This window comes from Homo sapiens, chromosome 16, assembly GCF_000001405.40.
Source record: "Homo sapiens chromosome 16, GRCh38.p14 Primary Assembly".
Classification (NCBI taxonomy): Eukaryota; Metazoa; Chordata; class Mammalia; order Primates; family Hominidae; genus Homo; species Homo sapiens.
This window is the reverse complement of record NC_000016.10, coordinates 87,515,834-87,529,215: the sequence shown is the minus strand read 5'-3', so window position 1 is coordinate 87,529,215 and position 13,382 is coordinate 87,515,834. Positions and strand designations below refer to the sequence as shown.

At 48.7% G+C, this 13,382-nt stretch overlaps 1 annotated feature.

Annotated features, from left to right (window-relative positions):
* Window positions 9,760-10,357: an enhancer, noted in NCBI's record as "H3K4me1 hESC enhancer chr16:87552465-87553062 (GRCh37/hg19 assembly coordinates)". NCBI's record gives its function as "activates a minimal SCP1, AML or CMV promoter by ChIP-STARR-seq in primed H9 embryonic stem cells {active_cell/tissue: H9 hESC(primed)}" and the evidence as "EXISTENCE:reporter gene assay evidence [ECO:0000049][PMID:30033119]".

Here is a 13,382-nt window from a genome sequence, read left to right as displayed (position 1 = left end):
ATGTGGAGCTCACAGATTCTGAAGCAGTGGCAGGCCTGCCAGCCAGGACCAAGATCACATGTCTGCTCTAGCACCCTTGGGCTTAACCCCTGAGCTGTCCTGCCTTACCCTCTCCTGATCTCTCTGGCCTGTTGTCACCAGGCAACTTAACAGAAAATACTAGAACCTGTGGTTGTTGGTAAATGTTTAACAACTGGCTCTCCAGAGGTCAGGGGTTGGGGTAAGCCCTGCTTTGAAGGTTTGCTGATTTCCAGGGTGTAAACACTCCCACTTTGGTTGATTTCAAGCTACCAATGCAAAGTCCATGAGTGTGGAGTAGGGAAGAGATGCTCACCATCAGCTCTCGTGAGCCCTACGAACCGGCCGTGGTGTACCCCTGACTAGAACCCACGGGAATCCTTACCTTAGAGCTGGGAGTAGGGATGCCCTACCCAGGCTGCAGTGTAATAATTAAGGCATTAAAGGAGCTTGATGGACACAAATGAGACTGTTTGTTGGATCCCTACGATGTGCTGATCACACACAAATGTCATCTCGATGCCTCATGACTATCCCTTTGTCTGATGAAGAAGCTGGGATTCAGAGAGGTGGAGGCACCCGGTGACTTGTATGGAATCAGAATCCAAACCCAGGTCTGTCTTCTTCCAAAGGCTGTGTCCTTTCACCCAAAACAAAGGCCCAGATTCAGAAGAGACCCAGCTTGCTCCCATTCCACCCCAATGACATGCCAGGGGCCAGGATGTTCAAAGTGGAGTATGACTCACAGTCGCCAAAAAGTAGGAAAAAACAAATGTCCATCACTGAGGGGTGGATAAATGAAATGCGGTCCATCCATACAACTCATACCATCAGCCATAGAGAGGAACAAGGCTCTGACACACCCTACAACGTGATGAAACTTGAACATGATGCTGAGTGACAGAAGTCAGACACAAGGGACCACGTATTACACAATTCATTCCATTTACATGAGAGGCCTAGCGTGGCCAGTCTACAGGGACAGAAAGTGGATGGGTGTCTGTCAGGGGCCGGAGGGAGGAGGGAATAGGGAGTGACTGACAACAGATATGGGATATCTTTGTGGGGTGATGGAAATGTTCTAGAACTAGACGGAGGTGTGCACAACGTGTCAGTGTGCATAGTGCCCCTGAAATTATAAAACAAACCAAGCAGTGGAGGATTCCTCGAAAACGGATTTTCCTTGCTCCAGCCTCCCAGGCTGAGGCTCTTGTGTCACTTTCTCAAGTTCACTGCAGGTGGCTTCCCATGCTACCAGGTAAAAAGTAAAGGGGGCGAGGCCAGGCATAGTGGCTCACACCTGTAATCCCAGCACTTTGGGAGGCTGAGGTGGAGGATCACCTGAGGTCAGGAATTTGAGACCAGCCTGGCCAACATGGTGAAACCCCGTCTCTACTAAAAATACAAAATTAGCCAGGTGTGGTGGAGCATGCCTGTAGTCCCAGCTTCTCAGGAGGCTGAGGCAGGAGAATTGCTTGGACCTGGGAGGCGGAGGTTACAGTGAGCCGAGATTATGCCATTGCATTCCTGCCTGGGCAACAAGGGTGAAACTCAGTCTCAAAAAAAAAAAAGGAGGCATTTTACATGCATCTTTTGAACTAAGTACTCTCAACTCCCTTGTAATTGGGGAATACTATTAACCCCATTTTACAGTGAAGACAACTGAGGCTCAGGGAGAAATTAAGGAACTTGCCCATGAGCCCACAGCCAGTCTATGGGAGAGCCAGGATTTGGGCCCAGGCCTGTCTGATTCCAAAGTATTGCTCTAAACTCTTCACTGTAGTAAAGCAACGTCCAGGTTGCATGGGATTTTCTCCTTCCAGGATGCTAGTTCAGTGGCACAGCAGCTCAGAAGGCTACGTAGGCTGGAAGCTTCCAGGTTTCCCAGCCCTCTGCCCTCCCTCAGCAGGAACGAAGGACTGGAGCTGGAAGGGAAGAGCCCTGTGCTGAGGGCGTCCCAGGTCCGTCCACCACATCCCCCCAGGACACTCGGCTCTGTTATGACTCGGCTGTGTGGCGTTTGTTAGGCCTCATTTTGCTGACCTTAAAAGGTGACCAACAGCAGAGATCAGTGGTCCTCTACAGAGGCTGTGCTACCCCCGGGGGCCTTCTGGAAGTTTTCAGAACTTCCCCAATCCCTCTGCTTTTCGCTGTCCCACCAGGCTCTGGTAAATGAAAAACCCTCTTGTAAAACATAGGTCTAGAACCGAACTCTGGGTGTGTCTGTTTTTTGCATCATTGTCATATACCTGAGATATTCTGGGAACGCAACCACTGTGTGATCAGGGGAGAACTCCCTCTGGAGTTGCCCAGGATTTGGGAAAATCCCATCACCAGCAGCAGTACCTTCATGGTCTTTGAGCCTCCACATGACACATCTGTGTCCACCTGCAGCTGTGGCTGTCACATTTATGTGACTGTCTGTCTAGGTACACACATCAGGCCACTTCATCACGTCACCTGATGTGGCCAGACCCAAACATTCACCTTGTAGATTCCACATTATTTTATTATAATTGACTATCCTTTTGCGATTTTTCTCTTTGTCACAGTCAGGGCATTATACTGATTTCTTTTTCTTTTTGCAATTGGTTCATAGGTGGGTTAGATTTTCTATGAATTTCATTGCAGAATAATAAAAGAAGCATTACAAAATATTCGATGCTAAAAAAAACAGCATTGGTCGTGTGTGACGGCTCACATCTGTAATCCCAACACTTTGGGAGGCCAAGGCAGGTGGATCCCTTGATCCCAGAAGTTTGAGACCAGCCTGGGCAACACAGCAAGACCCCATCTCTGTGAAAAATTTTTTAAAAATTAGCCTGGCATAGTGGTGCACACCTATAGTTCCAGCCACTCCAGAGGCTAAGGCAGGAGGATTACTAGAGCCCAGGAGTTCAAGGCTATAGTGAGCCATGATCCCACTACTGCACTCCAGCCTGAGCAACAGTGTGAGACTCTATCAAAAAAAAAAATGTGTTAAGGCTGATATGGTTCTGGGAAAACTGAGATACATGATTTCTTAAGATCCCTTCCAGTTTTTAAATAATTAAACCTGACCTCATAAAACTTTTTCCATAATTCTAGTAAAACCAAGTGCATAGTGCCTTTTAAACAATCCCCAAAGCATCGTTGCACCACTGTGACCCAAGTGTGCCCAGAGGCTGATTAAAATTAACAAACCCTGAAGACTCTTAAGAGGCTTCCTTCTGGCCCTTGGTAGAATAATCTCTTCTGCGACGTTCAATGACAACATCTTTGCCTTGTTTATTTCCTTTTCACCTTAACAAAGAGAAGAGCTGATGCCCTAAACTCAAACTTTCTTATGCTGTCTTTGTGCTTTGACAAGTTCAGTGCTTAACTAGAATATTTTTGTTTTTGTTTTCACTGAAAAGAAAAAAAAAGAATAAATAGAACTCCAAGGAACTTTGGTAACATATTTTTATGTGCTGGAGTGAGTTCATGCCGTGTGACATTCCTTTCTATTAATTATTTCTCCTGGGTTTATCTTTCCCTCATCTCTTCTCTAACTGATAATATTCTAACAGCAGCCCACACCACATTCTGGATGGGCACCACCTTTTCTGTCTGCACAGAACAGACTGTTCACAATGGCTGGTGTTGGAGATGCCTTGCAGAACCTGCAAATGAGCCAGGGAGTGAAAAAAAGCAAAAAAGAGAAAGTGGAGAACAGAGTCAACTAAAACCAGGCAGGGAGCGCTGTGGTACCGAGGTGTTCGGGGCTGAAAGATATTCCCCAAAAATGCATGTCCACCTGAAACCTCAGAATGTTGCCTCATTTGGAAATAGGGTCTTTGCAGGTGTAGTTAGTTAAAAATGAGGTTCCATTGGAATAGGATGGGGCTTAAATACAACAACAGTGTTGTGAAAAGAAGAGAAGAGGACACAGAGACACACAGAGGGGAAGGTGCATGAAGATGGAGGAAGAGTTGGGAGTGATGTGTCTATGAAACAAGGAAAGCCCAGGAATGCCCAAAGCCCACAGAAGCTGGGAGAGGCTACGAAGGTCCTGGCCACAGAGCCTTAGGAGAGAGCATGGTCCTGCTAACGCCACACTTGTGTCCTGCAGCACTGTGGGAGAATAAGTGTTTATTCTTTTAAGTGACTTAGCAGATGGACATTTGCTATGCAGCCACAGAAAACCAATACTGGGATCACAGGAAAAGTAATCTTAACACTAACCCTAATCCTAACCCTAACCCTAACCCTAATCGTAACCCTAAAGACTAACCTTAACTCTAACCCTAACTCATGACCTTAACAATTAACCCTAACCTTAACCCTAACACTAAACCCAAATGCTAACCCAAAAAGCTAAAGCTAACCCTAAACCATAACCTATCCCTTAACCTAAACACTAATCCAACCCTAACCCAGAAACCTAACCATAACCCAAAGCCATAACCCATAATCCTAATCATAACCCTAACCCCATCTCAGACCCTAACACGAACCCTAACCCTAGCCTGAAACAGTAAACCTACCCCTAAAACCTAACTCTAACCCTAACCCTAAACACTAACCCTAACCCAAAACTCTAACCCTGCCACTAAACCATAAACCTAAGCCAAAACCTAAACCCTAACCCTAACACTAACCCTAAATCTAACTCCTAAACCTAAACCCTAACCCGAACCCTAAAACCTAACCTTAACAATAAACCTAAACCCTAACACTAACCCTAAGCCTAACCCTAACCCTAACTCTAAACCCTAACCCTAACCCTAAGCCCGAACCCTAACCTAACCCTAACCTACAGGTGGGAGAGCGATCTCCACCTGCCCCACTCTCCTTCCATCTAGGCAGCAACTGCAGAGTTGATGTTTAGAACCTGAGGGTGTGTAGGGTGGAGGAAGAACCTGCCAGGCTCTTTGCCTCACCTACAGGTGGGTGGTTTAAGAAACTGACCCCGCCCTGGGTATTCCTTTAGCTCCAGGTAAATGAGCCACTTCCTACATGCTGGGGGCACTTGGTGATAGGAATAATGGCTGACATTTACTGAGTTCTTACCATAGTCCTGGAACTATTCAAATGAATATATATGAATTTAAACACTCTATATTCTATTATATTAATAATTTTATTAATAGAGTATGTATATTCTATTAATGATGTTATCATCAAAATAGCAATTGTATTTTATGAAATCCTAGTCACCGTTCGTTGTAAGATACACCGTTATGTTACTATGGTTTTAAGAATTAAAAAAAAAAACCTGTCAACTAAACACATCATTACTTGTAAACACAACCTAATTTTAGAGACGTTAAAATTCATATCTTAGAATCAATAAAATACGAAGCCAGGTACAGTGGCTCGTACCTGTAATCCAATGCTATGGGAGGTTGGGGTGGGAGGATCGCTTAAGCCCAGGAGTTCAAGGCCAGCCTGGGCACCAGAGCAAGACCCCTTCTCAACAAAAAGATTAAAAATTAGCCAGACATGGTAGCATGCCTGTAGCCCCAGTTACTCAAGAGGCTGAGGCAGAAGGATCACTTGAACCCAGGAGTTTGAGGCTGCAATGAGCTCCGATCACACCACTACACTCCAGCCTAGGCACAGAACCTATCTCTAAAAAATAAAATAAAAATAAAGAATCAATGAAATGTGGTATTATCATCACCCCTATTTTATGGATAAGGAAATTGAGGCTTAGGTCACACAGATTTCAAGGGTAGGGCCAAGATGAAACTCCCTGGCCGTGTGACTCTAGGACCCAGGCTCCTTTTTTTTTTTTTTTTGAGACAGAGTCTTGCTCTGTCGCCCAGGCTGGAGTCCAGTGGTTCCATCTCGGCTCACTGCAAGCTCCACCTCCCGGGTTCATGTCATTCTCCTGCCTCAGCCTCCCGAGTAGCTGGGACTACAGACGCCCGCCACCATGCCTGGCTAATTGTTTGTACTTTTAGTAGAGACGGGGTTTCACCGTGTTAACCAGGATGGTCTCGATCTCCTGACCTTGTGATCCACCTGCCTCAGCCTCCCAAAGTGCTGAGATTACAGGCTTGAGCCACCATGCCCGGCCTCTAGGGCCCAGGCTGTGAACCACTGTCCCACAGGGGCTATCATTAGGGCACTGCCAGCTCTTCAGCTTCGAGTGTCTTAGGCTGAGTCCACCAGTTTTCATCCAATATCCATCCTCTCATTCTTCCTTTAGCATTAGAGCCCTTGAGTTTCCATGGGGCACAGGATCAAGCGCTAAAAGCTGCATTGCCAGCCTCTCTTGCAGCTAGACGTGGCTGGTAGAGAAAGAAGAATATAGGAGAGCCAGGGTGACACCATTTAAAAACTCAGCTCCGGCGGAGTGCAGTGGCTCACACCTGTAATCCCAGCACTTTGGGAGGCCGCAGCAGGTGGATCACCTGAGGGCAGGAGTTCAAGGTCAGCCTGACCAACATAGTGAAACCCCGTCTCTACTAAAAATACAAAAAAAAAAAAAATTGGCTGGGCGTAGTGGCAGGTGCCTGTAATCCCAGCTACTCGGAAAGCTGAGGCAGGAGAATCACTTGAACCCGGGAGGCAGAGGTTGCAGTGAGGTGAGATCACGCCATTGCACTCCAGTCTGGGCAACAAGAGCGAAACTCTGTCTCAAAAACAAAAACAAAAACAAACAAACAAACAAACAAAAACCTCAGCTCTATCTTAAAATTAGCAAGACACATTCCTGGCTGGTCACACTCCGTGGTGATAAGATGTTTACAGTTGAGGAAACGGCCTGATGATACCTCTGACAACGGAATGTCCAGATGTCCCAACACCCATAACAGTGTATGCTCTCAGGATCATGACAGTCGTGCTGGGATGTATTTACGCGCTAAGTGCCAAGGACAGTTTTCTTTAAATCAGCAAAGTAAGAAACGTTGTCACGCTGTGAGCCCATCCGCATGGAGTAGACACAGCTTAGCTTTTCCATAGATAAGGCCTCTTCATAAGAGGAAGTTAAAATGATGATGAGGTACTCCTCCTCTTGCTTTCTGAGGGTATAACTTTCTTGCTGGGCTGTAACTTTCTGGGCTTTCTGGGCTGTCACTGAGTAGTGTTCAATAAGCCATTTCTTCTCACTGCACTCTGAGACTCACTTTGAATTATTTCCTGTGAAAGATCCGAGAACCCTCTCTTGGGTTCTGGATCAACACGGCCACGTGACACAGTTCTGGCCAGTGAGATCTAAGTGGAAGACACGAATAAAGCTCTGGGCCTTGCTCTCATTTCCTCTTGCCTCCTTGCCTGGCTGGAATATGGACGTGCTGGCCGGAGCTGAGGCAGCCCCATCTCAGATCTTAAGATGGAAACCACATGTTAGGCTTGGCAGACCAGCCAGATAGACACCAAAGGGCGTCCAAAGTTGCTAGGCTCAATCTGGGGCTGTTTCATGAGAAAGAAACAAGCTTCTATCTTGTTTAAGCCACTGTCATTTTGGCCTTTTTTCTAGCAGCCAGAACGTGTCCTGATGAACACACTCAGTGCTGCCCTACAGGCGCGGTCCTGGCCCTCCAAGAGCTGCAGGCTCATTAAATGAGAATGAATAGAAAACACCTAATGCGGGGCTGGGCACAGCACGGGCCCTGGGTAAATGTTAGTTCCTCACAAAACATGGCTGACTCTGGCATGAGTTGCTCGGCTAGCTTGTCATTCTCCTGCTTTCTTCAAATCCTATCCATGTATGGTAGGAAAAGCAGTATTACTCTTGTTTTTCTTTTTCTTTCTTTCTTTTTTCTTTTATTTTATTTATCTTATTTTTTGAAACAGAGTCTCACTCTGTTGCCCAAGCTGGAGTGCAGTGGCATGATCTTGGCTCACTGCAACCTCTGCCTCTTGGGTTCAAGCGATTCTCCTGCCTCAGCCTCCCAAGCAGCTGGTTTTACAGGTATACATCACCACACCCAGCTAAGTTTTTGTATTTTCAGTAGAAACGGGGTTTCACCATGTTGCCCAGGCTGGTCTCCAACTTCTGGCCGCAAGTGATCTGCCCACTTTGGCCTCCCAGAGTCCTGGGATTATGGACATGAGCCACTGCACCTGGCCATGTTTATTCGTAGAGAGGGTCTTGCTTTGTTGACCAGGCTTGAGTTTTAGTGGTGCAATCAAGGCTCGTTGCAGCCTTGACCTCCTGGCCTCAAGTGATCCTCCTGCCTCAGCCTCCTGAGTAGCTGGGACTACAGGCACTTGCCACCACACTCGGCTAATTTTCGTATTCTTATTTTTCTAATTTCCCCTTCTAAAACCTCCATCACCTTCCCCTTAACAAATCAAACGTTTTCCTGAAAGGCAGGGCAGTAACAGTCAGCTCCGGCCTTTATACGACAATGGACTTTGGCTGCCATCTCTCCCTGTCCATCTGATAGTGGCTTCCACCTCTCCTCAATGGCCACCCCCAGCCAACTCCCTGTGGTCCTGACAAGGTCAGTGCTCCTTGTCCCCACCCTTCATCAAGCCAGAGGATGCTCATGGTCCAGCCTAGTTCCCCATCCCTCTGGCTACAGTCACTGATTTAGGGATGTGATCTGCATGCAGGCTGGATTGATCTGAATCTTTACTAAGAATTGGCCAATCGTGTTGGAGGGATGAAGGTCTATTTCCTCAATTCTGACCTACGGGGATCACGAAAGCTATAGCAGGGCACATCGCAAATTACCCCAAAACTTAGTGGCGTAAAACAAGTATTGATTGAGCTTATGGACTCTGGGGGTCAGGACAAGGCACAGTATGGTGCTGGCTTCCAAGGGCTATGTGTCCCCAAAGAGAGGGATGCCGGCAAAACTGGATTGCCTTTCAGGACCCAGCCTCAGAAGTCATAGAATGTCGCTTCCAACATTTTCCATTGGTTGAGATGGTTACAAACGACACGTGGATGGGACATATGTTGGTGTGGCCAAATTTAGAATACACAACCTGCCACAGAGCCTGGAGCTACTATCATCCTTGCTCAAGTGGATGAAGATATCTAGAAAGTGACATCACCACACGGAGGAAAGCAGAGCCGAGAGAAGGGGAGATATCATTTGAGTCCCTGGATCCAGTTGCGCCTGAAGCTAGACTCACCTGCAGGGGCTTTTTTCCAGTTAAGTGAGCTATTGATAGTATTTTTGCTCAGCCGGGCACGGTGGGTCACACCTGTAATCCCAGCACTTTGGGAGGCCGAGGTGGGTGGATCACCTGAGGTCAGGAGTTCAAGACCAGCCTGGTTAATGTGGTGAAACCCTGTCTCTACTACAAATACAAAAAATTAGCCAGGCGTGGTGGTGGGCACCTGTAATCCCGGCTGCTTGGGAGGCTGAGGCAGGAGAATTGCTTGAACCTGGGAGGCAGAGGTTGCAGTGAGCTGAGATTGCGCCATTGCACTCCAGCCTGGGCAACAAGAGTGAAACTCCATCTCAAAAAAATATATATATACATATATTTATATATATTTTATAATATATAATATATATTATTTTTCCTGTAAGTGATTCAGGTCGAATTTCTGTCATTGGCAGCCAAAAGAGTCCTGAGCTCACTAAGGGGCTCAACTGAGCCAGGACAGGATACTCTGGGACTTCTAGCAGCACAGAGCACTAGCTGGTGCTTGGAAATGATGTTTCCTCTGCTCTTGGCTAGCTGGAATCCCCAGGCCAGCATCCCCAAGATGAAATGTGCCCCTCCCTTTAGAAGGCAAGAATTGATGACAGTGAGTTTTTTGTTTGGTTTGGTTTGAAGTAGCCCAAATGTCCCCTTCCTGCCACGAGGGCAATGCAGCTTCTATCTTACAGCATCTGGGAGGAGCCATTTTTATGGCCTGGATCACTGAGACAGGAAGAGGGAGAGCAAACCGGGGGTTGGCACATTCCTCCCAGCTGGGTCCGGGGAATGTGGCTATTAGGAGAAGGACAGCCACCACAGCAGGCCCCTGTGATGAACCACACCTCCACTTTTGCACACCTGATTCCTGGCTGTCAAACCCTGCAAAGAAGGTCTTATCCCCATTTTACAAAGGAGGAAACTGAGGCAGAGAGAAGGGATGCAACTCGCCCAAGATCTATAGCTGGGAAGTTGTGACACCAGGCATTGGATTTCTGACTGCAGAGCGTGAATTCTCTCATGCCACGTTCACGGAGATAGGAGGGACACGGGGGAAGGGCGTTCAGGGCGAGGTGGACGGAGGCTTGGCATTGTGCAGCGATGGGGCAGCTGGCGTGTCTGCTGTGGCCGCAGCAAAGAGAGGAGGGCCTGGGTGTGGAGTGGACACTGACCAGGCGGCCTTGCTCCGCTCAGATAAATGAGGTTTGGCATCCTGCCGGGCCATTCTTTGGTGGCCTCTGTGTAAGCTGAGGCCTGGCTGTCCTGAGCCTGGCTTCTGGCTGCTGGTGAGTGGCTGTGGACCGTCTCCCGCTTGCCAGCATCGCCTTTGGTGCTTGGCTGGGTAGACAGAAATGAGTCACACTCCCCAGTCCTGCCCAAGCTCTCCCTGCCTCTGACCGGGGCACAGGCTGCCCGGTGTAATCCAAAATAAGCAATGTGTGGCCCCAGGGGTTGGGATGGGCAGGGAGGAAGCCCCATTAGGCATTCCTGTGAGGACAGCGTCCCTGAGCTGGGAGGACCCCGGCAGCTTTAGGCTGGTCAGAGGACGGCATCCGTCAGAGGTCTGAGTTCGGAGATTGTCCGTGCCTCCAATTAGCCACGTCGCCCTGAGCAAGTCCCCTCTGTAGCATGGAGCAAATTGATCCCGGAAGAACCTCCCAGCCAGAGGCTGCTTGTTAGTCCCCATCTTTCAGGCCCCCAACGCTGTTTCACTCCGGCCTTCCTGTGGGCTGGCTCTCATCTTACCTCTCCACTCTGTAGCTAGCTCAGGTCCTACCGGTAAACCCTTGCCTCCAGCCCCAACATGGTTAGCAAGAGCCAGGTTCTCTTGCTTGCAACCCCAAAACCCTAGCTGGAGAAGCAACTGAGGCATGTTCCGTGTCACTCCACCCGTCCCACTGCCCATGTAACCGCCAGCATCCCGAAGGGGCCCAGCGTGCTCAGCCTTGCATTGCACACAGCGTGTTCTGCCTAGTCCCATGGCGGCTCAGAGCCCACCCCAGGCCGGAGCCAGGCTGAAGGAATCCATGCTGGCGGCACGGATCCAGCACGGGAAGTGTCGCGAGAAACGCTCTGCAGAGCCTGAGCGGGGAGCTTTCCAGAAGTGGGGTGCGGCCACATGTGTCAGAGCTGCTGGGGAGTGCCAGGCAGGATGTGATTAATGTCGGCCGTGGGTGTGACAGCCAGCCAGCCCTCAGCCTCATTGTCAGAGTGGCTCGAACGCAGCCCCCTTTCCTCTCCCCACCCCTGCTCGCAGCACCCACCCCTGCTATGTGTGGCATCCCCTCTCCTCCCTCCAAGTGTACTGATCCACGGTGCCAGTCACTTAAAAATAGCATCCTACCCGAAACGTAGGCATGAGACGGAACTCCAGAAAAGGAGACAGCACCCCTCTTGTGCCTTGGAGCACGCAGATTCTTGAGCAATCTGTCCCTGGCGCTGACAAGGAGGGCCTCTCGCCGGCGCCTTCTGTTCCACTGGGGAAGGGAAAGCCCGTGTTGTAAGTCCCCCCATCTAAAGCCGGCATCTCAGCTCCACAGGGCTGGTGTGCTGGGCCACAGGGCTGCCCAACCAGGGTCACTCTCTCCCTGCCCAGGGGCTGGCCTGAGAACCATACCCTCGCCCTTCCTCACCCTCTCTGCTTCCCGCTGGGGGAGCCCTGGCATGAGATGTGAGAGAGGGCGGGGAGGGAGGCTGGGGTACTTATCCCCTATCTTTCTCCCTACAAGGCCAGCACAGGCTGGCCATGACCTTGACAGAAAATCTCAGGTCCCTCCACCTTCCACCCCGCCTCCATCCCTCAGGGCGCGTTGGCCCATCGAATTGCGTTCCCTGCAGACTCTATTGTGCGGCATGGTGGGTAATAGTGAAAAAAAAAACCGAAGGAGCCAAAATGTCCAAAAATAGAGGTCAATTGAGCTAATGACAACACTGGCACTGAGGAATCCTTTGTGGAAATTAAGAAGGATCTTTTAGGCTGCTGTGTTTCTTTGAATCTGAGAAGCCATCATTTGTTATTTGTATTACCAGTGTCATCATAACCCCCATTTTTGGGGGGAAAAAGAAGAAATAGCTGGCACATTTCTTTCGACATTGATTCTAAAACACATCCTTACTTCGAAACATTACAAAGTGAAAAAATATGCAATATGGTAAAATGTAATGATTTGGAGAATGTGTTCTCCATGTATTTTTAAGTTTTAAAAAAGTGGGTTAAGATACATTATGCCTGGTATTAAGAAAAAACTAACATGTCTATACATACATAAACTATCCTCATTCAACAATGACCAGATCCTATGAAATATACATGCATACACACCCACAGGAAAAAACCAGGAAGGACAGCTAACAAAAGGCCAGCGGCGCGGATTGCCGGGCCATGGGGCTACATGCACTTTTAGTTTTCTTCTTTGTATTTTTCTATTTCCGATTTTCTGATTTTATAAGTAGACAACTAAAATAATAATCGCTACCACTGATTATCTCCTTTCCACCTATCAGCACTTAACCTGTGCTGAACGCTTTGTAATGACGATCTCATTCATGTCTCCAACACCCATGGGAGTAGGAATGCTGGTTACCAGCTGTTCCACACACTGGGAAACGGAGGCTCAGGCAGCTATAAAGCAATGGAGCCGGAACCCAAACCCTGGTCATTCTGACTCCAGAACCGAGGCCCTTAACCATTATATTCTAGACACAAACTTCACCCTAAGGGTTTGCACCTTTTTGAGAATTTAACGCCATGTTGCAAGAGGGCACCCAAGGAAAATGTCACCCCTTTGCTGGCCAGGCAGGGACGCTGAGATGCTGACCACAGAGAGCCAGCCTCACAGCACAGCCTAAACAAAGGCCCAGGGCTGCAGGTGAGGACCTCCAAGTCTCTCTGGTCCTGAAAAAGCAACGTGTCTTGTGAGCCAATAAGGAACCCCTTGGATGCCAGCCGGGCTGACGTAGCTCAGGGCATCTCCGAGGCACTGTCAGCTGAGGCAGGACAAAGGAAGGGGATGTTCCCATGGCACCACGCTATGATGCCTTGACAAGGCCCCCTGCACCCTGTTTTGTGGTTCATTCTTATTTTGCTGAAAGGAGCTCTTCCGCTTCCTCCGAGATAAACATTCCTAACATCATTTCTTCTGAGCCGGCCAGCCAAGAGAACAGCTGGGAGCTCTCCGAGCACGGGGAGAGCGTGTTCATTTTCTGGAACTCAGCTGAGAATCTTTTCTCCAGGAGACCCCAATAAGCCATTGCAAATAAACAAAATGAAGTTGCTGGGGAAACTGGCG